At 48.8% G+C, this 25,281-nt stretch overlaps 2 protein-coding genes across 4 annotated transcripts in view, besides 6 other annotated features; both read right to left on the reverse strand.

Annotated features, from left to right (window-relative positions):
- KCTD14 (potassium channel tetramerization domain containing 14) overlaps positions 1–16,996 on the reverse strand; it is a 30,477-nt gene extending 13,481 nt beyond the window's left edge. Inside the window, exons 1-2 of the mRNA NM_001282406.2 lie at positions 16,866–16,996; positions 9,469–9,563 (exon numbers count right to left, since the gene is read on the reverse strand). The gene's annotated coding sequence lies outside the window, so the exon portion shown is untranslated. The remainder of the gene's footprint in view (positions 1–9,468; positions 9,564–16,865) is intronic.
- The window catches only part of NDUFC2-KCTD14 (NDUFC2-KCTD14 readthrough), a 64,148-nt gene that overhangs the window by 13,481 nt on the left and 25,386 nt on the right, over positions 1–25,281 (reverse strand). For 2 of the 3 annotated variants that reach the window (NM_001203262.2, NM_001203260.2), the window contains one exon: positions 9,469–9,563. The exons of the other annotated variant lie outside the window; for it this stretch is intronic. In NM_001203262.2, coding sequence (NP_001190191.1) covers positions 9,469–9,563 — 95 coding nt within the window. The remainder of the gene's footprint in view (positions 1–9,468; positions 9,564–25,281) is intronic. 3 annotated transcript variants of the gene reach the window in all.
- Positions 1,041–1,553: an enhancer, noted in NCBI's record as "H3K4me1 hESC enhancer chr11:77741282-77741794 (GRCh37/hg19 assembly coordinates)". NCBI's record gives its function as "activates a minimal SCP1, AML or CMV promoter by ChIP-STARR-seq in naive H9 embryonic stem cells {active_cell/tissue: H9 hESC(naive)}" and the evidence as "EXISTENCE:reporter gene assay evidence [ECO:0000049][PMID:30033119]".
- Positions 2,675–2,744: a silencer, noted in NCBI's record as "silent region_3805". NCBI's record gives its function as "represses an Ori minimal core promoter by ATAC-STARR-seq in GM12878 lymphoblastoid cells {active_cell/tissue: GM12878}" and the evidence as "EXISTENCE:reporter gene assay evidence [ECO:0000049][PMID:35858748]".
- Positions 7,848–8,142: a silencer, noted in NCBI's record as "tiled region #10650; K562 Repressive non-DNase unmatched - State 23:Low". NCBI's record gives its function as "represses a minimal TATA promoter and a strong SV40 promoter by Sharpr-MPRA in K562 cells {active_cell/tissue: K562}" and the evidence as "EXISTENCE:reporter gene assay evidence [ECO:0000049][PMID:27701403]".
- Positions 10,393–11,349: an enhancer, noted in NCBI's record as "H3K4me1 hESC enhancer chr11:77750634-77751590 (GRCh37/hg19 assembly coordinates)". NCBI's record gives its function as "activates a minimal SCP1, AML or CMV promoter by ChIP-STARR-seq in primed H9 embryonic stem cells {active_cell/tissue: H9 hESC(primed)}" and the evidence as "EXISTENCE:reporter gene assay evidence [ECO:0000049][PMID:30033119]".
- Positions 10,986–11,045: a silencer, noted in NCBI's record as "silent region_3806". NCBI's record gives its function as "represses an Ori minimal core promoter by ATAC-STARR-seq in GM12878 lymphoblastoid cells {active_cell/tissue: GM12878}" and the evidence as "EXISTENCE:reporter gene assay evidence [ECO:0000049][PMID:35858748]".
- Positions 17,044–17,283: a silencer, noted in NCBI's record as "silent region_3807". NCBI's record gives its function as "represses an Ori minimal core promoter by ATAC-STARR-seq in GM12878 lymphoblastoid cells {active_cell/tissue: GM12878}" and the evidence as "EXISTENCE:reporter gene assay evidence [ECO:0000049][PMID:35858748]".

A 25,281-nucleotide genomic window follows, 5' to 3' on the forward strand; every position in this document is an offset into this window, starting at 1 on the left:
AAAAAAAGAGAGATGTATGAAAACAAAACAAGGGGGTAAGGACGGCTTAGAAATCCTGAAGTCGCTGACACGCCCAGATAACTAGTGACTATAGTTACACCTGCTAAGATTTGGGTGCATGGGGCTTGGCTTTGGTTAGCTCCCTTGGTCTTATTTCACCAAAGGAAGAAACCTCCCGGTTATGGGCACCCTATTTACTGCTGTCACCTGACAGGATTTGCAGGGTAATTCCCCAGAACTAGTATATTGATCCAGATTTTCTGTTTTTACCCAGAGGTCACTGGTTGGTTCACAGGAATAAGCAGGGTTAATTTAAAATGTGGGAAAAACTTAAAAACAACTAATGAAACTGGAATGTAATGTCAAGTGTATGATAAGTTTTGAAACTTAATTTTTCTCTCTCCTGTTCTCACTTTTGTCAAAAAGAGATTATGATAGGACTGAGTTGTTTGCAAAATAAACTTTAGTCTTATGGTTGGCCTGATTATTTGCATAAAGTTCAGCCAGAATAATTATTTTTACTAGGGTTTTTTAATAGGTTTTGATGGAACTCAGTTCCACAAGGAATCTCAGACAAGACTTTTTTTTTTTCTTTTTTTTTTTTGAGACGGAGTCTCGCTCTGTCCCCCAGGCTGGAGTGCAGTAGCGCAATCTCGGCTCACTGCAAGCTCCACCTCCCAGGTTCATACCATTCTCCTGCCTCAGCCTCCCAAGTAGCTGGGACTACAGGCGCCCACCACCACGCCTGGCTAATTTTTTTTGTATTTTTTAGTAGAGACAGGGTTTCACCGTGTTAGCCAGGATGGTCTCGATCTCCTGACCTCATGATCCACCTGCCTCAGCCTCCCAAAGTGCTGGGATTACAGGTGTGAGCCATCGCGCCTGGCCTTTCTGTGAGAAAATTTCTTTAGAGCAAGAGCTCTCTCTGTCTCCATTCCTGGACAGGAATATAAAACCTGCTTGCTTCTTTTTTCCCCCCCTCCAATTGCATGTTCTTTCTTTGCCACCAATGCAAAGTAGGAAAAAAACTCAGTTTTCCAGTGACATTAGCACATTTGACCCTGGCAGTTCAAAATAGGCATTAGCACCTCCATTTTCTATATGAGGACCCCAAGGCTCCCAGAGATGAAGCACCTCTTTGAGTCAGTCAGACCAGGAGACGAGAGAGCAGGGCTCTAGTTTCGGCTCTGCCACCAGTTTGCAGTACCACCTTAGACACGTCCCTGCCCCTCTCTGGGCCTCAGTTCTCCACCTGTAATATGGTGGGGGTTTGTGTATTTTCTGAGATGGTCTCTGTGATCCTGCCTTGCTTGATGCTATGGCAACAAAAGAATTCAAACAGCCCCTTGCTATTGCCTATCACTGGATCTTGTTTCCCTTTGGCCTGACTCCAAGAGCAAGCACTGCTTCCTTCTGCCCTCCCCTCACTCACTCCCCTCTGTTCTTCAGGAGACAATGCGGCCAGCCCCTCTCCCCTCCAGGCGGCTGGGCTTTAGGCCAGCCAGCCAAATGGCAGCTGGGACTCAGATGAAAGGGCCCTCAGAAGGCTGCTTGTGGCAGAGTGCCCAGCCTAGCCCAGCCCAGGCTTGGCAGCCTGGGGCTCAGCTGTGCCACGAGGCATCCTGTCCACCCGCTCCCATACAAGGCTCCCTCTGTGAGTCCTGCAGAGAAGGAGACCCCTGCCAACCCACAAGGACCCTCTTCCCCTCCCTCTGCTCCATACCTGCTTGAGAAATATGCAAGTCTGTAGAGAATGGTCCAGGACTACATCAGATTGATCTGACTGTGCCAGGCACTTTGGAGAGCTTTATCCCATTGACTCTTCAGAATAACGCTGATAGCAAGTAATGGTTTTTTTTTTTTTTTTTTTGAGACAGAATCTCACTCTGTCACCCAGACTCTAGGCTGGAGTGCAGTGTCACTAACATAGCTAACTGAAGACTCGACATCCTGGAATCAAGCAACCCTCCTGCCTTAGCCTCCCAAGTAGCTGGGATTACCGCTAACACCCAGCTAATTTTTTTTACTTTTTTGTAGAGATGGTGTCTCACTATGTTGCCCAGACTGGTCTCAAACCCCTGAGCTCAAGCAATCTTTCTACCTTGGCCTCCCAAAGTACTGAGATTACAGGTGTGAGCCACCATACCTGCAATCTCTTTTTATTTATTTGTTTATTTTTTAAAATTTATTTTATTTTTTTTGAGACAGGGTCTTGCTCTGTTGCCCAGGCTGCAGTGCAGTGGTGTGATCTCGGCTCACTGCAACCTCCGCCTCCAGAGTTCAAGCAATTCTCCTGCCTCAGCCTCTCGAGTAGCTGGGATTATAGGCACCAGCCATCATGCCTGGCTAATTTTTGTATTTTTTTTTTTTTTAGTAGAGATGGGGTTTCACCATGTTGGCCAGGTTGGTCTCAAACTCCTGATCTCTAGCGGTCTGCCCACCTCGGCCTCTCAAAGTGCTGGGATTATAGGCGTGAGCCACAGCACCCAGCCCGTAATCCCTTTTTAGAGAGGAGGAACACATATTTGCCTACTGTGTGTCAATCATGGCACCAGGCACTGGGGAAAGAGCAGTGAACCAGGGGACAAGAGCTAACCTCAAGGGGCCCATTGTCAGCTGTAATTGAATAACCACAGAAATGAATATCTGGTTTCACAGTGTGACCAGTGCTCTGAGAAGAAAGTGGAAGAAACTATAGATATGGATAGACATGCTAAAGAGCCCATAGGTAATGGTGGATCACAGATAATGGTGGCTCACAGATAATGGTGAACCAATGTGTCCTCCTTCCCTTTGGGAAGTCCCCCACTCCACCCAGGGAATTCTTTATTTAGAAGCAAGTCCCCTGAACTCTGGGAGCCTCATATTCTTCAGTTCAAAAATGGGAGTTTTGATGCCCCTACCATTTCTGGGAGGAATCTGGGAGGCCCTGTACTGTCAGTGCCAGGCACAGGGAGGCACTGGGAGGAAGTATGGCTGGGCTTCCTTCAAACCACTCCACTTGATTGGGTCCCAGCCCCAGCAAGCTCCTTTCTGGAGGGAGCAGGCAGCCAGAGCTTCTGGATAAGGTTAGAACCTGCTCAGTTTCAGCCTTGACTGGAAGAACAGAGAGCCTGGCTGGAAGCCAGGCATTTCCCCAGTTCACCAGCTCTTGGGTCTTTTAACCCCAAAAATGCCTCTTGCAAGGCACAGGAGTCAAGATGCCCAGGCTAGGAAATGGTAGTAAAAGGTAACCTTTGTTTCACAGGCATTATCTCATTTAATCTTCACAACAACCCTATAAGGAAGACTAAAGGAAGATTAAAACCACCCCCATTTTCCAGGTGATGAAATTGAAGCTTAGAAAGCCTATTTTGCTAAACCACGATTCAAATCCAGGCATTCTGGCTTCAGGAACTGCTCTGTTGTCCACACCCTGCCCTTCCAGGCCAGGACAGTACTGCCCTACTCCCAGCCTTGCCCTCTTTCCTCCACATCTTCTCTGGGAGAACATAAAGTGATCTACTTCTTTTTTTTTTTTTTTTTTTGAGACAGCATCTCAATTTGTCACCCAGTCTGGAGTACAGTGGTGCAAAGATGGCTTAATGCAGCCTCAACCTCTCAGGCTCAACCATGTCACCCCCAACAGGTACAGCACCATGCCCAGCTAATTTTTAAATTTTTTTTATAGAGCTGGGGGTCTCACTATGTTGCCCAAGCTGGTCTCAAACTCCTAGGTTCAAATCATCCTCCCACCTTAGGCTCCCAAAGTGCTCAGATTACAGGCCTATCCCATGATGCCCAACCATAGTCTACTTCAAATCTACCACTAGGCTGCTGTCAGACCTGGGGCCTCAGTGTCCTCATCTGCAAAATGAGGAGGGAAGAGTTGGGCTTGAGTATGGTTAAGATCCCTTCCAACTCTATCAGTCTTTGTTCTTTCTAGCATAAGTGGTGTCAGCATAAGCCCTTGAAAGGCATGAGGTACCATTTCCATTCTTAGGATTAGCCCCTAGAGCACACATGTGCAAAGACACTATGTGCACAAGAATGTTCGTTGCGTCATTGTTTGCAAAAGCAAAAGACCAGAAGCAGCCTAAATGTCCATCATTTGGGGACTGGTTAAATAAGAATATATCCATATAGTAGAACACTCTTCTATTATTGAAAATGAGGTGAATCTCTGTGGCTAATATAGGAAGGTCACCAAGATAACAAAGACAGGGGCAGGGCACGGTGGCTCACGCCTGTAATCCCAGCACTTTGGGAGGCCGAGGAGGGCAGATCACTTCAGGTCAGGAGTTCAAGACCAGCCTGGCCAACATGGTGAAACCCTGTCTCTACTAAAAATACAAAAATTAGCCGGGCATGGTGGCAGGCACCTGTAGTCCCAGCTACTCAGGAAGCTGAGGCAGGAGAATCACTTGAACCCAGGAGGCAGAGGTTGCAGTGAGCTGAGATTGTACCACTGTACTCCAGCCTGGGCAACAGAGCGAGACTCCTTCTCAAAAAAAAAAAAAAAAATTAGCCAGCTGTTGTGGCACATGCCTGTAATCCTAGCTACTTGGGAGGCTGAGGCACGAGGATTGCTCGAACCAGAGGTAGAGGTTGCAATGAGCCGAGATCACACCACTGCACTACAGCTTGGGTGACAGAGTAAGACTCCATCTCAAAAAAAAAAAAAAGATAACAAAGAAAATAATAGTGTGTGTGTATGTGTGTGTGTGTATATATATATATACACACATTATATATAATACATATATGCACACCATTGCATTTGCAACGGTAATTTCTGGAAAGATATAAAGGAGACTTAGTCATCATTACCTCTGGAAAGAGGACCAGGAATACATCATGGGACAAAAATTACTTTTTTGTTTCTGAAACAGGGTCTTGCTCTGTCACCCAGGCTGGAGTGCAGTGGATGCCACACCCAGCTCTTTTATTTATTTATTTTTTTGAGACAGGGTCTCACTCTGTCACCCAGGCTGGAGTTCAGGGGCGCCACAATCACAGTTCACCACAGCCTCAACCTCCTGGACTCGAGAGATCCCCCGACCTCAGCCTCCTGAGTAGCTGGAACTACAGGTGCATAGCACCATGCCTGGCTAGTTTTTAAATTTTTTGTAGAGACGAGAACTTCCTGTGTTGCCCAGGCTGAACTCCTGGGCTCAAGCAATTCTCACTGGCTTTCCAAAATGCTGGAATTACAGGTGTGAGCCACTGTGCCTGGAGGAAAATTACTTTTCATTGTATATTATTTTATACTGTCTTAATCTTTCTCTCTCTCTCTCTCTCTCTGCCTCTCTCCTCTCTCTGTTTTTCACCCAAACACTCTGTATGGGTGTTTCTTTCTTTCTTTCTTTCTTTCAAGTCATGTGTGGAGGACAGATTGTGCGACCTGGGTTCAAGTCCTGGCCTTGACATTAACTACATGGTCTTGTACAAATCTCGTCTTTTTGCTGGGCTAAGTAATCTTTCAGGTCCCTTCAGTGCAGAGGTGGGAACGGACAGCCCACGTGTTTTCAAGACAGTCTGAGTCATCCCCAAACAGACTATAGCCAAGCAGGGGACCCTGCTCACCGCGGCCTCAGTGATCTCAATCCCTCTTGCCTGAGTTTATGGGCCATGAGCTCTCCGAGGTACACTGTAGTGAACATGTGTAACATTTCCACCCTGCTTTTATTCACTCTCCTTTGTAAAGAACAACGGCTTTGCTTCGGGGGCCACCCTCTTCTTTACTCTCTACCGCCACCATCTTGCCACCATATGTAGCCTGAGATTGAAGTTAACCTACAAAGGAACATAGAACTAAGAGTTGATGAGAACCTGATTGCCGGCTATCATTTGAGCACTGATGAAGCTCTGCCTAAGGCCCTACCCCTGGAGTTTCCGGTTAGGTGACCGAGGGTTTTTCTTTTTGACTTACGCCACTTTACAATGGGTATATCTGTCACTTCTGGCATTCTAAAGAGGCCAGTGGAAGTGGAGAGCATGCTGTAACTCTTCTACCTGTCTCTCCAGATCCACTCCAGCCTTTTCTACTCTGGGAGGCTGATCCTTTTGGGGTGCATCCACAGGCTTCCATGCACCCTGGCTTCCAACTGAGTTTGGCCAATGGGAGCTTAGCGGGAGATCAGAGGCAAGAGGAGGCAGAAGCCAGAATATTCCTTCCCGGGCCCTCTCCCTGTCGAGTTCCTATACATTGGCTGCATCCCTCTTCTGAAGGTCCCAGCCCGTGATAGCTGTCTCCACACAGCTATCATCTCAGTTCTGCTAACTGCCCCCTTCCTCACCCTGTTACTAACCCTCAGGGTCTGCACTATCTCTTGTTACTCTCCCCAAACCCTGCCAAAGGGACTCTTTGTAAAGAGTCGCTTTATGGGCCAGGCGCGGTGGCTCACGCCTGTAATCCTAGCACTTTGGGAGGCCGAGGCGGGTGGATCACTTGAGGTCAGGAGTTCGAAACCAGCTCAGCCATCACAGTGAAACCCTTTCTCTACTAAAAATACAAAAAATTAGCTGGCCATTGTGTTGCGCACCTGTAATCCCAACTACTTGGTAGGCTGAGGCAGGAGAATCATTTGAACGCAGGAGGCAGAGGTTGCAGTGAGCTGAGATTGTGCCACCACACTCTAGCCTGGGCAACAGAGCGAGACTCCATCTCAAAAAAAAAAAAAAAAAAAAACAGTCCCTTCATGGCCGGGCACAGTGGCTCACGCCTGTAATTCCAGCACTTTGGGAGGTCAAGGGAGGCGGATCACTTGAGGTCAGGAGTTTGAGACCAGCCTGGCCAACATGGTGAAACCCCGTCTCTACTAAAATACAAAAATTAGCTGGGTGTGGTGATGGGTGCCTGTAATCCCAGCTACTTGGGAGGCTGAGGCAGGAGAATCACTTGAACCCAGGAGGAGGAGGTTGCATTGAGCAGAGATTGCACCACTGCACTCCAGCCTGCATGACAGAATGAGACTGTCTCAAAAAAAAAACAAAAGAGTCCCTTTATGAAAGTCTCCTGAAATACCCAGCTTGAGAGAGCTATCTATGTTCTGCCTGCATATCTATATGTGTTTCAAGTGTGAGTGTGAATGTGTGTGCACACATGTGCATGCATTGTGTCTATGCTGTACACTTGACAGTCTCAAACTGGGACAAGAGGGGAGCTGATTTTCACAGGTGCTCACCATGTGCCAGACTCCATGCAGGGTACTTTGTATGCACGATTGAGTTTCATCCTCACAATTCTATAAAGTGGGTATTTTTAGCCACATTTCACAAAAGATAAAACCAAGGCCCAGAGAGGTGAAGACACTCACCTAAAGTCCCACAGCTAAATAAATAGAGGAAACAGGATTCAAAACCCATATACATCTGGCTGTAAAGCCTGTGTTCTTTAGCCTCCTCCCGGCACTGCTTTCCCAAATGCCTGGCTCATTCTCATACTTTAGATCTCAGCTTAAATGTTACCTTTCCCAAGAGGCCTTCCGTGACCACTCTATTTGAAGGCTGTCATCAATGATTCTTTTTAGTAAGACATTACTTTTCCTTCAGGACATGCCTTTGTTTACTGAATGTCTGCCCCAAGCTCCATGAGGGCAGCCAGTCTCCACATCTGTGATTTTGTTCACCACTGTGATCCTGGTGCTGAGCACATGTGGCTGCTACATGCTAGGCCCCGGATAAATCGCTGCTAAGTGAAAACATGGCAAAGGAAAGGAACAGACATGTATTAATTGCCTGCCCAATGCCAGGCATTTTACACAGTTTGTCTTAGGAAGTACATGCTGTTGTCCCATTTTGCTAATGAGGAAACCAAGGCCAAAGAAGGAATATGACTTTCCCAAAGTCACGGAACCATGAGCCAGGGTTCAAAACCAGGTCCCTCTGAGCCACAGCTGTGCTCATTCCATGGTGCCCTCTGTCCCCTACTCAGGTGTCCACCACAGGATGAGAGGCAGAGGGGCCAATCAGTAAAACTCATGTGAATCATTCCTGGACAATCAGAAACTGGGGAGCAAATAGTGCCTGCTGCAACCACTCCCCCGGGGCCAGCCACTCTCAGACCTCGTGGGCACACGCCCTCCCAGCCCAGCCAGGACACATCCTCTTCCCTGTTTGCCCTCAGGCTCTAGGCCCAGCTCCACCTATTCTGTGACCTCCACAAACACTGTTTCTGGGCTCTCTTTGCAGGGCTACTTATGGCTGATAACTTGCTCTCCAAGCTCCCAAGGGCCAGCTCCAAGGCCCTGAGCACCAGGGACTGGTGCACTCCTGAGCCCTGTGAGTAGGCCAGTTCACCAGCTGGTGCCAATAAAGAAGGGACCTCCTGCTGAGCCCCCAGAACTATACTCATCCCAGGCTGGCACATGGGAGGACCTTTTCCTACCTCCTCCCTTTGCTTTCAGACCCTGCCCATGTTCCACTTTAAAATCACTGCCTCCAGCCAGCCTGGCCAAAATGGTGAAACCCCGTCTCTACTAAAAATACAAAAATTAGCCGGGTGTGGTGGTGGGTGCCTGTAATCCCAGCTGCTCGGGAGGCTGAGGCACGACAATCGCTTGAACCCGGGAGGCAGAGGTTGCAGTGAGCCAAGATCGCGCCACTGCACTCCAGCCTAGTCAACAAGAGTGAGACCCTGTTTCAAAAATAAATAAATAAAAAAAATCATTGCCTCCCTAATGGGAGGCTTCTGGGATGCTGAATAAAGTTCTTTTTCTTGAGCTAGGTGCTGGTTCCACAAGTGTGCTCACTTTGTGAATATTAACTTAGGTGCATTCCTCTGTGTGTAAGTTACATTTCAATAAAAAGTTGACCAAAAAAAAAAAAAAAAATCAGTGCTACCTGACTCTTGCCCCAGGCTTCCCCACCAGACCAGCATGGATTAAGGCACTCTGCCCCCCACACCATCCTTTCTCTCTACTTCCCCAAACATATCCAGAGGCCCTTCCCATGTAAGGGTTTCTGACTGAAAATTGGCCAGCAAAGACAGGACAGAACGAAGTAGCCAACATGGGCAGCGTCCCAAGTCTTGGGACCTCGGGTGTCCTGTTCCTGGTGGACAGCTCCTCCTGCCTTCTCTGAGACATCTTTTGAAGCCCCATAGGCCTTTCCCTGGTCCAGTTCGAGTGAGAGGTTCTCGCATCCTCTCCCTATTCTTACCCCAAACCTCTTTCTCAGGCCATGCTGATGGCCTCTGGCCTGCAGGGCCAATTTTCTGGTGCCCAGGACCACGTGCAAACAATTATTGTTTACCAACTGTCCACTGTCACTCAGAAGGGCATCTCCCATGGCCTGGACCCAGGACCTCTCCCAACTTGTCCTCCTTGGGTTCCTGGAGAGGAATCAACCGCACCCCATCTGGCTCCCCGCTCACTGGCTCCCCAGCCCAAGTGCGTAGGCCCCAGCTGGTTACCCCAAGTGAACAGCTTCTCCACCATCTCACACAGCCCAGACACCTGGACCCAAGAGAGGGGGTGACCTGCATACCTAATGGGTGGTGGCAGCAGAACTCCCCACAGCAAACACAGCAGGGGTGTCAGAGAGGGATCCTGGGGACAAGCAACAGAGGCCAATGTCACCCCCTGAAACAGAAAGAGAATTTCTTAGAAGACTATCAGTGTTCACAAAGGACGAGGACCAGGAGTTCAGAGGGCCCAGGCCAGGAGCCTGACTGGAGCCACACTGCAGAACTGGATGGCTACTGCTGCTGTGGTCACGGTCAGGCCCGGATGTACCAGGGGCTGCCAGCAAAAGAATCCCATCTCTTGCAAGGGATTCCATAGCGGGAGCAAGGGCCAGGAATTGGCGCCCTGCCTAAAACTCATGGGAATTTCCCCAGAAGGGAGAATATGGGGCTAGGAGGGAAGGAGTAGAGTCTGGACTTTAGATTACAAAAAAAAAAAAAAAAACACAAAAAAACAGGTGTCTCTGACCACAGGGTTGGGCTGAACTGAATTTCAAGAGGACCTTGAACTGGGACAGGGTTGGTGCCACCCCTACTACATATATATCCACTAACAAAACTTGAATCATGCCATTTAAAATATTTATTTAACCAGGCCAGGTGCGGCAGTTCATGCCTGTAATCCCAGCACTTTGAGAGGCCGAGGCAGGCAGACCGCTTGAGCCCAGGAGTTCAAGACCAGCCTGGAAAATGTGGAGAGATCCCATCTCTACAAAAAATACAAAAAAAATAAATAAAATTAGCCAGGTGTGGTGGTGTGCTCCTGTAATCCCAGCTACTCAGGAGGCTGAGGCGGGAGGATTGCTTGAGCCCCAGTAGTTGAGGCTGCAGTGAGCCATGATCTCACCACTGTACTCCAGCTTGGGTGACAGAGCAAGACTCTGTCTCAAAAAGAAAAAAAAAAAGAAAAGATTTATTTAAACATGTATGAGCCTGGGGCAACATGGTGAAACTTTGTCTCTACAAAAGAAAAAAAAATAGCTAGGCATGTTGATATGTGTCTGTAGCCCCAGTTAATCAGGAGACTGAGGTGGGAGGATCACTTGAGCCCAGGTGGTTGAGGCTGCAGTGAGCCAGTCTGGGAGACAGAGTGAGACCCTGTCTCAAAAAAAAAAAAAAAGTGTACTCATTTTTTCCACCTGGTATCGTGACGATTTCCCCCATATGAAGGGCTCTTCTGTACCACTTTTTAAAATGGCGACAGAGCATTGTGTTGTATGAATGTATCATAAATCTACTAAGCCACATTTTACTTCTTTCTTCTCTCCTTCCTTCTGTATTTTTTCTCTCTTTCTCTACTATAATAGTGCTGCAGTGAGCATCCTTGATAGCTAAGGCACTGTGCAAGGAGTAGGCACTTTTTTGAGCTCTTATTCAGTGTTTCCAAATTACTAAGAAAGCTGTGCCCACCATCCAGGCACACAGAGTGTGGCTGCCCTGTTTATGTTTTTGCCCCATGTTCAGAGTCTGACCTCCAACAGACTTCCGGGGCTGCAGGCAAGGGCTGAAACCAGAGCTGGCCGCTGGCCAGGAGCTGAGAACCAAGCCAAGGCTGCCCCCGTTTCCCGTGTCATGTCTTCCTGGAATCTGAAGTACGGGCATTTTTTCTGGCTGATTCAAAGTACCCTCAGAAACTCACTTCCTGCTCCATGTTCTTTTTCCTTTCTCCTGTCTTCTCCTTCTCTCTTCCTTGTCTCTTTTCTTTCTTTCTTTCTTCTTTTTTTCCTTTCTGTTTCCTCTTTCTCCCTCCACTTCTTCCTGTGTCTCTTCTCTCTTTAACTCTGCTCCTCTTTCTCTCTGGCTCTTTTCTCTTTGTGTGTCTCTCTGCTGTTTTCTTCCTCTTTTGCCTTCTTTCTGCACCTTTTAATTTTCTCCGCCTGGAATCCAGCCTCATTTCTGTGTCTTTTCTCTGTCTCTTCGGTGGCTGTCTGTCCTCCATCCACCACTCCTGTTCTGTGAGTCATCCCTTCCCCAGGGAGAGAAGGCAACCAACATTCTCCTTGCTAGGCCTTGATTTTTTATTTTATTTTATTATTTTTTTTTTTTTGAGATGGAGTTTCACTCTTGGCCCCCAGTCTGCAGTGCAATGGCGTGATCTTGGCTCACTGCAACCTCCGCCTTCCGGGTTCAAGCAATTCTTCTGCCTCAGCCTCCCAGTAGCTAGGACTACAGGTACGCATCACCACGCCCGGCTGATTTTTGTATTTTTAGTAGAAATGGGGTTTCACCATGTTGGCCAAGCTGGTCTCCAACTCCTGACCTCAGGTGACCCGCCCGCCTCAACCTCCTGAAGTGCTGGGATTATAGGTGTGAGCCACCGCGCCCGGCCACTAGGACTTAATTTGAATGGAAGGTGATTTTGCCTCTCACAAAGGACAAAGCTAACAGATCTCCGAAGTGGGAGTTGCCTGGTAAGCCAGGTTGACCCAGGCACTCTGGGCTTCAAGGATTGGGAGACACACAGTCTGTCAAGCTTCCATTAGAGGCTCTATCACCCCAGGGGCCAGCACACTGGGTCTGATGACTCACCAGGGCGGCACTGGCGCAGTGGCAGCAGGATGTAGGTAGGGGCACTGGAGTTTATGATGTTGCTGCAGGGAGCAAACCTACTGTGTGTGGGTGGGCTCAGGGCTGGATGCTGGAGACCCAAGAACACAGCAGACCCAGTCTGCATGAAACTGAGAGACTGGACTAGCTGGATTTCCTAGGCCGACTAAGAATCCCTAAGCCTAGCTGGGAAGGTGACCGCTTCCACCTTTAAACACAGGGCTTACAACTTAGCTCACATGGGACCAATCAGATAGTAAGGAGAGCTCACTAAAATGCTAATTAGGCAACAACAGGAGGTAAAGAAATAGCCAATCATCTGTTGCCTGAGAGCACAGCGGGAGGGACGATGATCAGGATATAAACCCAGGCACTGGAGCCGGCAATGGCAACCCCCTTTGGGTCCCCTCCCTTTGTATGGGAGCTCTGTTTTCACGCTATTTCACTCTATTAAATCTTGCAACTGCACTCTTCTGGTCCATGTTTGTTACGGCTCGAGCTGAGCTTTCGCTCACCATCCACCACTGCTGTTTGCCACTGACTCCCATCCCTCCGGATCTGGCAGGGTGTCCTCTGTGCTCCTGATCCAGCGAGACTCCCGTTGCCACTCCCAATCGTGCTAAAGGCTTGCCATTGTTCCTGCACAGCTAAGTGCCTTGGTTCATCCTAATCGAGCTGAACACTAGTCACTGGGTTCCACGGTTCTCTTCCGTGACCCACGGCTTCTACTAGAGCTATAACACTCACCGCATGGCCCAAGATTCCATTCCTTGGAATCCGTGAGGCCAAGAAAGGCTTGCCACCATCTTGGAAGTGGCCTGCCACCATCTTGGAAGTAGCTCGCCACCATCTTGGGAGCTCTGTGAGCAAGGACCCCTGGTAAAAAAAACCACCTTCACAAAATTATCACAGTGAGAGGAATCTGACATGGCTGACTCCATCTTGCTTCTGGTGTCACAGGCTGACTGTCTTTGCTCATTCCTGGGCATATGCCAAGCTAACTTTGGGAGAAATTTCGTTCATAGTTTAAATGATAATGGCTGGACACGGTGGCTTACTCCTGTAATCCCAGCACTTTGGGAGGCCAAGCGGGATGGATCACTTGAGGTCAGGAATTCCAGATCAGCCTTGTCAACATGGTGAAAACCCATCTCTATTAAAAATACAAGAATTAGCCAGGCGTGGTGGCGCATGTCTATAGTCCCAGCTACTCAGGAGCCTGAGGCACGAGAATTGCTTGAACCTGGGAGGCGGAGGTTGCAGTGAGCCAAGATCCCACCGCTACACTGCAGCCTAGGCAACAGAGTGAGACTATCTCAAAAAGAAAAAAAAAAATAGAAGAAAGAGAAAAGAAAAATCCCTAACCTATGCGCTTTGAACGAGATTGATTTGAGTAATAACTCCATCTCCTACGTGGCATGGCCACCTTCGTGTTGAAGCAGCATCATTGTCTGGGGTAAATATCTGAGGTTCATTGCCTCATGCCAAGGAAATCAAGGACACGGACTCACACAAGGAGTGAGTTTAAGAGAGAAGTTTAATAGGCAAGAGAAAGGGAAAAGTTCTCTCTCCTGCAGAGAGAAAGGCTCCCGAGTGGGTCTTCTGGTTCTGTGGTGAAATGCATGGGGTTTTCTAGACGAGTTTGAGGAGGTGGTGTCTGATTTACATAGGGCACAAAAGATTGGTCAGACCCGGTGTGCCATTTATATAGCTTGCGAAGAAGCTGGCCACCCCACCCTAATTTTTCATTATGCAAATGATTTCCCTACCTGGCCGGTGCCATGTTGCCTGCTTCTTTACTGCACACATGGTTGACAAAGACAAGGGAAGAGGGGCTGGGCACCGTGGCTCACACCTGTAATCCCTGCCTTGGCCTCCCAAAGTGCTGGGATTACAAGTGATCCACCTGCCTTGGCCTCCCAAAGTGCTGGGATTACAGGAGTGAGCCACCGCACTTGGCCTCTGTTACACTTTTAAATGCACACACCCTATGTTCCAGCAGCCCAACCCCTGGCATTTTCTTCTACCAAAATACTCTCATGTGTACTATGTAGTAAGATATTTGTTGCAATGTTGCTTGTATTATCCACAAAATAGGAATATACTCAATATCCATTCATTAGAATGGTTAGATAAAATGATGATGTCTCTTGCTATGGAATAACTGTCATCGCTAAAAAAGAATGAGGTATTCAGATAAACCAAAAGTAGGTTAGTAGTGCTAGGATGACAGGTGTGAGCCACTGCACCCAGCCTGTGTGTGCTTTTCGTATGAAACAATTAAACATACTCAATAAAACAAATACCATCCTTGCTTGCAAAGAGCTCAGAATCAAGTGAGGGGATAGACTGAGACAGAGGGAATGCCAACAGAATCCTTCGTGACAGGGCTGGCACAAGCACAGTGGAGGGGCCCCCTGAACCAGCTCGTGGGGTGTCAGGGAAGGCCTCCTGGAGCAGGTGACATTTTGACTCGGGTCTTCTAAGACCAAAAGGTGTTGGTCAAGTGGAGAAGCAGGGGCAGGATTCTTCTGGTGGAAGGTGAGGCAAAGTGGTGCAGCCCACATGCAGCTGACAGAGAAGGAAGGGTTTCACTCAGGGAACTGATGGCAGCTTTGTCTTGGGTGGATCCTCTGAGGAAGTCTCTTCTGGCTCGAGGTGACAGACACCCTGAATAGCTCTTAGGGAAAGTCTGGAAACTAATACAATGTAAATGAAGACTTTCCAGTAGGCTCAGAATTTCAGCTGAGGCCCCAAAGGCAGAAACAAGGCCAGAGTTGCTGATCCTAAAGTGAAGCTGGACCACCCACCTAGGATTCCCCAGAAGGGAGAACAGAGTTAAAACCCACCTCTTCACCTACTTCCTGACCACAAAGAGAGGCGACATCCCCAGAAGCTGGAGGGGAAATTTCTCTGGACAGAGTTGTCAACGTGCTCCCTCAGCCTGTTCCCCAGCCCACACCCCAAAACAGGGAGTAGAGGGCGCTGCTCTCCCTCACCTCTAACCAGGTGAGCGAGGCTTTAGGAGAACTATCTGGGGAGTCTTGGAGGTGGAGACTCTGGGGTCTGGAATCTGCCTGGCACCTAGCAGGGTGTGGAGGGGCTGCTAGGAAGGGGCTGCACTGCCAGCTGTGTGCTTCCTGTGACCCACATGTGGACCCCGCAGAAAAATCTTCCTGAAAAGGACCTGGTGGAAGAGAGCTTCTATCTAGGGGTGAGGGGACTCCGGCAGAATGAGACTGGAGGTGTGAGGAGGGTTGTAGTAGCTGAGGGGCAGTAAGTGAGTATAACCCCCAGTAGGTTCTTCCGCCCACTGCACAGACAAAACCAATTCACTGAGACCACGCAGCATTGTAATAAAGATATAGTTTAATTGCCACAAGGCCAGCCATGCCGCACAGGAGACGGAGTTATTTCTCAAATTGTTAGCAGTAGTGAATCTGTACGGGTCTGTAGTAACCTCCATTCTTGCCTCCTCAGAGGAAAGAATTAGTCGGAGGGGCATAAGGCAGAGGGAGTGACCAAGGCAAGTTTTAGAGCAGGAGTGAAAGTTTATTAAAAAGTTTTAGAGCAGGAACAAAAGGAAGTAAAGTACACTTGGAAGAGGACCAAGCAGGTGACTTGAGAGATCCTTGTCCGGTTTGACATTGGACTTGGAGCTTTACACCTTGGCATGCTTCCGGGGTTTTGCGCCTCCCCTCCCTTGATATTTCCTTGGTGTGGGCTGTCCACATGCACAGTGGCCTGCCAGCACTTGGGAGGGGCCCGCATGTGTAGTATGTTTACTGAAATTGTTCACATGCTCATTTCAGGCATTTTTCTCTTACCAGTCAAGTGTTCCTAGAGGAAGGTCACACACAAGTTAAGCTGTGCCATTTTGCCTCGTAGGTGTGAATGCTCAAGCCCACTCACCCAACTCCTGAGATCTTTTTTTGAGACAGGGTCTCACTTTGTCACCCAGGCTGGAGGGCAATGGCACAAACACAGCCCACTGCAGCCTTGACCTCCCAGGCTCAAGCAATCCTCTTGCCTCCGCCCTCAAGTAGCTGGGACTACCAACACATGTCACCACGCCCAGCTAATTTTTTTGTATTTTTTGTAGAGACAAGGTTTGCCATGTTGCCCAGAGTGGTCTTGAACTCCTGAGCTCAAGCAATTGCCTGCCTTGGCCTCCCAAAGTACCAGTCTTAGGTTCTACGATAGTGATGTTATCTGCAGGAGTAATTGGGGAAGTTGCATATCTTCCCTCTGCCTCTGGAATAATGGTTGGCAATCGTTTATGTCTGCACCTTAGCAGAACTCAGGCTCAACATCCTCCTGACCTGGTTGGTCTTTCATTAGCTTTACAAAGGCAGTTGAGTTTTGGAGAAGGGCTGCTATCATTTAAACTATAAACTAAATGTCTTCCAAAGTTAGCTTGGCCTAAACCCAGGAGTGACCAAAGGCAGTTTGGAGGTTAAAGGCAAGATGAGGGTTGGTTAGATCAGATGTCTTTTGCGGCCCTAATTTTCTCACTGTTATAGTTTTTTCAAAGGCAGTTTCATAAGCAGCCCTGGGGGAGACAGCCCCTCTTTATAAGGGTACTACTGAGGAGAGATGTGAGGGTTTTCATAACGCCCGTCAAAGTGCTCCCAAAAGCCCAGAGTACTCAGGTCCTCCTCAGACGTTGCTGCCCCTACCGCTTCTCCCCCACCCCACCCAGGAAGAGTCCGAGGCAGCCTGTGTAGGGGCAGGAGGAGCAGAAGAGCTGGGTGAGGACGCAGGGAGGCTGCCGGTCCTCTCCCCAGTCAGCAGGTGTCCCAGTTAGAGGCAGCCTCAGGAGGGGAGCGTTTGCCAGAATAATGGCCTGCACTTAGACACAAGCTGGAATTACCTGACAGTAAACCGGGGAGGACTCCGAGAAAAGCGAGTGATCTGCCGAGATTTCCCCCAGAAACAGCAAAAAAGGAGTCCACAGAATCAGTTCGCAAGGGCAGGAGCAGGAAAGAAAGAGATCGGCTCAGTGCTTTTCCCTGCTAAGTCAAGCCCCTTTAGTAAACCAGCTACAGAACATCGACGCTGTCTATGTGGTGAGGGTGTCTTGGAAAGATGAGAGGATTTGACAATTGTGAGCCGGAAAGCTCGCGTGTTGGCGGGAGGCCAGGGTCCCCGCCACTCCAGGCCTGGGCCTGCCCGGCAGCGCCCTCTGCTGGCCGGAGCCGCGACGGCGGGGGCCCCGCCTGAACCGGAGCCCTGAGCCTGGGGCTGGGAGTCCAACCTTCCCAGAGTTTGCAGTTCTTTGGGGACAGGCATACATGCATGGATTGAGCCACCCACGATAAGAGGCGCACCTTGCAATGAGAGGAGAGCCTATCCTAAAGGGGAAGGGGGCTGATCTGGCGAAAATGTCAGCGCGGGGGCTGAGGCTGGACTTAAGGGGGCGAGGTTAGGAAGAGGTGAGCAAAGATTTGGAAGTTATGGTGGAGTTTGGGAGAGAGTGCAGGCATGCTGGAGAATCATCAGTATATATGTATGTATGTATCTTGCTATTTCATGCCTCTGAACTTTTGCTGAGGCTTGCATTTATTCCTAGAAAACATTTCTCACTTTTCCTTTTCTGTTGTTATAAGTACTTAATCTATTCAAAAATATTAGATGATGAATATATAAATATTCATGTAGCCATTACTAAGCTTGGGAAATAAGACCTAATGAATATAAAGTACTCATGTACGCTTCCTTTTTTCCCCTCCCTCCACCCAGATGGCTCCTTCAATTTGCTTTTTCATTCCAACGTTTAAGTTTGTGTTTACTACCTGTGTAGGTATAAAGAATATACAGATACATGAAATCATAATTTTGGGGGTTTTTTTGAGACAGCGCATTGCTCTGTAGCCCAGGCTGGAGTGCTGTGGCAATGATCACGGCTAACTGCAGCCTTGACCTCCTGGGCACAAGCAATCCTCCTGCCTCAGCCTCTTGAGTAGCTGGGACCATAGGCGCATGCCACCACACCCAGCTAACTTAAATTTTTTGTAGAGATGGGGTCTCTTTATGCTGCCCAGGTTGCAAAAATATTTTTTAGTAGAGATGGGGCCTCTCACTATGTCACCCATCTTGGTGTCAGACTCGTGGCCTCAAGCAATCCTCCTACCCAGGCCTCCCAAAGTGCTAGGATTACAGCCCACCATACCCAGCCAGAAAAATTTTAATAGGTATATATTTTATTAAATATACTATATCCTGGCCAGGCACGGTGGCTCATGGCTGTAATCCTAGCACTTTTGGAGGCTGAGGTAGGGGCATCACTTGAGGCCAGGAGTTCAAGACCAGCCTGGACAATGTGACGAAACTTATATTTCTTTTTTTTTTTTTTTTTTTGAGACAGAGTCTCGCTCTGTTGCCCAGGCTGGAGTGCAGTGGCACAATCTCAGCTCACTGCAAGCTCCGCCTCCTGGGTTCACGCCATTCTCCTGCCTCAACCTCCCGAGTAGCTAAGACTACAGGCGCCTGCCACCACACCTGGCTAATTTTTTGTATTTTTAGTAGAGACGGGGTTTCACGATGTTAGCCAGGATGGTCTCGATCTTCTGACCTCATGATCCACCTGCCTCGGCCTCCCAAAGTGCTGGGATTACAGGCGTGAGCCACTGTGCCCAGCCAAATTATATTTCTTGTCTCTACAAGAAATAAAAAAATTAGCTGGACTTGGTGGCACATGCCGGTAGTCCCAGCTACTCGGGAAGGCTGAGGTGGGAGAATCCTTTGAGCCTGGGAAGTTGAGGCTACAGCAAGCCGTGATTATGCCACTGTACTCCAGCCTGGGTGACAGAGTGAGATCTTGACTCAAAAAAAACAAAACAGGCCAGGTGCAGTGGCTCATGACTATAATCCCAACACTTTGGGAGGCCGAGGCAGGCAGATCACCTGAGGTCAGGAGTTCCAGACCAGCCTGACCAACATGGTGAAACCCCGTCTCTACTAAAAATACAAAAATTAGCTGGGTGTGATGGCTCACGCCTGTAATCCTAGCTACTCGGGAGGCTGAGGCAGGAGAATCACTTGAACCTAGGAGGCAGAGGTTGCAGTGAGCTGAGATTGCACCACTGCACTCCAGCCTGGGCGACAGAGTGAGACTCCGTTTCAAAACCAAAAACAAACAAAAAAATAAAATAATAAAATAAAAACAAAACAAAAATACAAGGCACCAAAGCAATGTAACAGGCGCCTGCAGTCTGAGCTAATGAGGAAGCTGAAGTGGGAGGATGGTTTGAGCCTTGGAGCTCGAGACCGGCCTAGGCAACATCGCGAGACTTCATCTCAAAAAAGAAAGAAAAAAAATACCATGGCATATAAAAACAAAATTGAAAGGGATGAGTGTAATAGGCACAATAATGGCCCCCAAAGATGCCACCTTCCTAATTCCTGAACCTGTAAATGTTAGGTTACATGGCAAAGGGAAATTAAGGGGGCAGATGGAGTTAAGATTGCTAATCAGCTGACCTTAAGATGGAAAGATTATCCTGAATTATCCAGCAGTACCCAATGTAACTGGAAGAGGGAGAACCAGAGAGGCAGCATGAAAAGGTGTTCCTGGCTTTGAACACAGAGGAAAAGATTACAAGCCAAAGAGTGCGGGCAGCCTCTAGGAGCCAGAAAAGACAAGGAACGAATTCTCCCCAGAGCCTCCAGAAAGGAGGGCAGCCCTGCTGACCCCTTGATTTTACGCTGGTGAGACCCATGTTGGACTTCTGACCTCCAGGATTATAAGGTAATAAGTGTCTGTTGCTTTAAGCCCCTAGGTTTGTGTTCATCTGTTACAACAGCAATACAAAATTAATACAAGGAGCGTGACCGGCAGCGAATCCGTATGGGTCTGCCGCAACCTCAGTTCTTGCCTCCTCAGCAGAAAGAATTCGACTGAGGCACATAAGGCAGAAGGAGAAACCGAGACAAGTCTTAGAGCAGGAGTGAAAGTTTATTAAAAGCTTTAGAGCAGGAAAGGAAAGAAAGTACACTTGGGGCTGAGTGTGGTTGCTCACGCCTGTAATCCCAGCACTTTGGGAGGCTGAAGCGGGTAGATCACGTGAGGTTAGGAGTTCAAGACCAACCTGGCCAACATAGTGAAACCCAGTCTCTAATAAAAACACAAAAATCAACCGGGTGTGGTGGCATGTGCCTGTAATCCCAGCTACTCGGGAGGCTGAGGCAGGATAATCGCCTGAACCTAGGAGGCAGAGGTTGCAGTGAGCCGAGATCGTGCCACTGTACTCCAGCCTGGGTGACAGAGCGAAACTCTGTTGCAAAAAAAAAAAAAAAAAAAAAAGAAAGTACACTTGGAAGAGGGTCAAGCCAATGACTTGAAAGCCAAGCCAAGTGCACTGTTTAACCTTTTGACTTGGGGATTTATACATTGGCAAACTTCTGGGGTCTTGTGTCCCTTCTCCCCCTATTCTTCCCTTGGGGCTGGCTACCGGCATGTGCAGAGGCCTGCTAGTGCTTGGGAGGGGAGCATGCGCAGTGTGTTTCCTGGAGTTGTGCACTGCTCACTCAAGGCATTCTTCCCTTACCAGTCAAACGTCCCTAGGAGGTCATTTACCAGTTAAACTCCACCATTTTGCCTCTTAGTATGCATGTGGGGGCCTACTTGCCCAGTTCCTGAGATCTTATTACCAGTTTCAGGTTTTTCTTATCTACTGGGAGACTGCCGGTCCCTGATGCCAGATGCAACCAATTATTATTTTAGCGTAACAGCTTAACAACCACTTGACCCTCACCTGATGGTCACCTGACTTTCCTGGTTGAGAGGTGGGGCCTCTCCTGCCCTGCTCATGTCTGACCAGCTATCTACTGTAACAGTCACGGAAGGTGTTTGAGTGAGGGATGGATGGGGGGTTCTTCTTGTACTGCAGAAGGATTGGTTGTGAAGGGAGGCATCATGGAGATGCCAGAATGGGAGCCCGTCACTGTGAACCTGGCTGGAAAGGGGAAAAGGGGAAGACACCCCCAAAGGATGGCAGCAGGTGGATTCAGAGCTGGAACCTCAGAAGGCCGGGAAGAATGGCGTTCACTGGCTGAGTTTTGTGGATGAACTCGTGGATCTTGACGCATGTCTCCTCCTTCTCTAGCAAAGCCCCCTCGCAGCACCTGTGCAGAGCGGGGAGTGGGTCCTCAAACACTTCCTGGACTCTGGCCTGGGTCCCAGACTGGGGGCCAGCACTGTAGGCAGACCAAGAGCTGGCCCGAGGGAGGGAGACTCCGGAGCTCCTCTGACAGGGCCTGGCCGTGGCAGAAGGAGGTAGCTGAGCTTGCTGGAGTCCAGGGGTTGGCAATGGCAGCCTCCCTGCTGAGCGCCCTCTGTGGCCAGCACTTCCTTGGGGAAAACTCAGCAAAAATCTATTGGTTGAGAAAATGGAGGCAGGAGAGAAGCACACCACGGGTAGACAGACCCCACAGTCTTCATTCATTCATCCTTTCAGTCAGCAAACTAAGGACACTTTCCTAAGCTCCTTGGGTATAGTAGTCAAAATGAAGAGTCAAGGCTTGGTTCTTAGGCTGAGCACAGTGGCTCACTCCTGTAATCCTAGCACTTTGGGAGGCCGAGGCGGGAGGATTGCTTGAGATCAAGAGTTCAAGACCAACCCAGACAGCATAGCGAGACCCCTGTCTCTAAAAAAAAATAAAAATAAGACCTGGTTCTTGCCCTCCAGGGGCTCCCAGATAGGAAAGAGAGAGAGAGACATGTTTTGGTATGAGTCTAGTCGCAGAATTTTGGAGTCCAAAGCCTTATAGTACATGATACCTGTGGATTGAGGGCTGGAGCCCCAGAAGGCCAGGAAGAATGGGAAGGCCGGGAAGAAGTCCTCCCAGGGGAAGGAACAAAGCATGACTGGAAATATAAGTTGGAGTCTCAGTTTCCTCATTGGTGAATTGTAGGGGTTGGGTTGCTGGATTACTGTGGAGCCTTGGAGTTCTGACAACTCAGACATTTGAGATTGGCTGATGAGGGGGTGCTTTGTTGACATCGCCCCTCTCTCTACCTCTCAGCAAACCTAGAAGGCCTTAGGCTGGCCCCCAGGGCTAGTTGCATCAGCTAGAGGAAGGGCTGTGTTTTCCCAGAACTGGGGGAGGGGTGTGACAGGGGGGAAGTTGGGGGTGGGGCTGGACGGGAAGACCTGCCCCTGCTCCTGGTCCACTCTGGTCAGCCCTTCATAAGGTGCCTTTGTAACAGTAGAGTTCGCAGCAGATTCTCCGAACAGCAGAGATATTCCAGAGTAAGCAGGAAAGGTCTGGGCCTCTTAGCATGACTTAAGGACTCCAGAGAAGGGGCCCCACCACTCCCTCAAATAAATAGCTTTCCTTAGCTGGTTGTTTGGCTCATCATGCCTCAAAACCCTCCATTCAGAGGAACTGTGTTTTTTCAGCTTGGAAGATCCTGCACTTTCCAGATAGGAGACTGAGGCCTACAAAGGCAGACTGACTTGCTTAAGATCATGTCCAAGTTAGTTCTGTCCTTTTATTTTTTATTTATTTTTTTGAGACAAGGTTTCACTCTGTCATCCAGGCTGGAATGCAGTGGCAAAATCATGACTCACTGAAGCCTCAACCTCCTGGGCTCAAGCAATCCTCCCACCTCAGGTTCCTGGGTAGCTGAGACTACAGGCGAGTGCCACCATGCCAGGCTAATTTTTATTTTATTATTATTATTATTATTTGAGACAAGTCTTGCTCTGTCGCCCAGGCTGGAGTGCAGTAGTGCAATCTCAGCTCACTGCAGCCTCCACCTCCCGGGCTCAAGCAATTCTCCTACTTCAGCCTCCCAAGTAGCTGGGACTACAGGCATGCACCTCCACCCTCAGTTAATTTTTGTATTTTTTGTAGAGACAGGGTTTCACCATGTTGCGCAGGCTCGTCTTGAACTCCTGGACTCAAGTGATCCACCTGCCTCAGCCTCTCAAAGTGTTGGGATTACAGGCATAAGCCACTGCGCCTGGCTCAAATTTTTTTTTTGTAGAGGCAAAGTCTCACTATGTTGCCCAGGCTGGTCTCAAACTCCTGGGCTCAAGCAATCCTCCTGCCTTGGCCTCCCAAAGTGCTGAGATTACAGGCGTGAGCCACTGTGCCGGCCAGTTTTTTTTTGTTTTGTTTTGTTTTGTTTTTTGAGATGGAGTCTCACTCTGTTGCCCAGGCTGGAATTCAGTGGTGCGATCTCAACTCACTGCAACCTCTGCCTCCCTGGTTCAAGCAATTCTCTTGCCTCAGCCTCCCAAGTAACTGGGATTACAGGTGCGTGCCACCATGCCAGGCTAATTTTTGGATTTTTAGTAGAGACGGGGTTTCACCATGTTGGCCAGGCTGGTCTTGAACTCCTGGCCTCAAGTGATCTGCCCGCCTCAGCCTCTCAAAGTGTTGGGATTACAGGCGTGAGCCACTGTGCTGGCCAGTTGTATCTTTAAGGAGAATATTTTGTGATCAGTAGCACTTGCTCTTCCCTCTACCTGGATAGCAGATCTTCCAAAAGCTGAGAACATTCAGGTCTTAGCACAGCTGTTTCTTCTTCCTGGGCATAATAACCATGTTTGGAATTGGGCATCTTCAGAGGATCTTGTTGAAATGCAGTTCCAATTCAGTAGGTCCTGGCTGGGGCCTGAGAATCTGCATTCATGATGAGCTCTGGGGTAACTTGATGGATGGGGCTGGTCTGCAGATAACAGTGAGTAGTAAGGTTTGTTACCTTCTTTTCTTCTTCTTCTTCTTTTTTTTTTTTTTTTGAGATGGAGTCTTGCTCTGTCGCCCAGGCTGGAGTGCAGTGGTGCAATCTCAGCTCATTGTAACCTCTACCGGGTTCAAGTGATTCCCCTGCCTCAGCCTCCCGAGTAGCTGGGATTCCAGGCGCCCACCACGATGCACAGCTAATTTTTTTTGTGTGTGTATTTTTAGTAGAGATGGGGTTTCACCATGTTGACCGGGCTGGTCTCGAACTCCTGACCTCAAGTGATCCACCTGTGCTGGGTGTGAGCCACTGCACCTGGCCTCGTTACCTTATTTTCTTCCTAGTACAAGTCACAATGTGATGTTAACCATATTGATCTGTGCATTGTTGGTCATTGCTCTCTTCCAACTAGTTATAAGCTGCCCTGAGTGCAGGGACCATGCCTACCTCATGTCCTGTTATATCCCCAGGCCCAGCAGAGTGTTGGCACATAGTGGGCTCCCAATACAAGAACTCCCCTGAGGGACAAAGCAGAGGGTTGAAGCACACAACAGGGGTTGAGTGCCTGGGGACAGGAGTGGGGCAGATCATGAAAATAAGGCTCCTGTTTTTCTTCTCTTTTTTTTTTTTTGAGATGGAGTTTCGCTCTTGTTGCCAAGGCTGGAGTGTAATGGCACGATCTCGGCTCACTGCAACCTCGGCCTCCCAGGTTCAGGCGATTCTTCTGCCTCAGCCTCCCGAGTAGCTGGGATTACAGGCATGCGCCACCACGCCCAGCTAATTTTGTATTTTTAGTAGAGACGGGGTTTCTCCATGTTGGTCGCGAACTCCCGACCTCAGGTGATCTGCCCGCCTCGGCCTCCTAAAGTGCTGGGATGACAGGCGTAAGCCACCGCATCCAGCTTGTTCTTTTTTTTCTTAAGAGACAAAGTCTCACACTGTCGCCCAGGCTGAGTGCAGTGGCGTGATCATAGCTCACAGCAGTCTCAACCTCCCAGACTCAAGTGATCCTCCCGCTCCAGCCTCCCAAACAGGTGGGACTACAGGCATGTGCACCACACCTGGCAAATTGTGTTTATTTTTTGTAGAAAGGAGGTCTTGCCTATATTGCCCAAGCTGGTCTCAAACTCCTGGGCTGAAGCAGTGCTCCTGCCTCAGTCTCCCAAAGTACTTGGATTATAGGCGTGCACCCAGCCAGCCCCTGATTCTTTAAAAATCTTTAAATATATATAATATATGTATAATATAGCTTATATATGTATTATATATATAAATTATATGTGTATTATATATATATAAAAATACATATATATAAAATTATTTTTTTTTAAGAGACAAGGTCTCACTATATTGCTCAGGCTGGTCTCAAACTCTTGGGCTCAAGCAGTCCTCCCGCCTCAGCCTCCCAAAGTCTGAGATTACAGGTGTGAGCCACGGCACCTGGCCAGCTCCTGATGCTTGACCCCAGTAGTTCTGGACTGGTGTGACAAGGCAAAGAAAAACAGCCTGAAGCCCATAGCTATCAGGTGATGTGTGTATATATATAAATCATTTTTTAGGCCAGGCATGGTGGCTCATGCCTGTAATCCCAGCTTTG

The sequence above is a fragment of the Homo sapiens genome, chromosome 11, assembly GCF_000001405.40.
Source record: "Homo sapiens chromosome 11, GRCh38.p14 Primary Assembly".
Classification (NCBI taxonomy): Eukaryota; Metazoa; Chordata; class Mammalia; order Primates; family Hominidae; genus Homo; species Homo sapiens.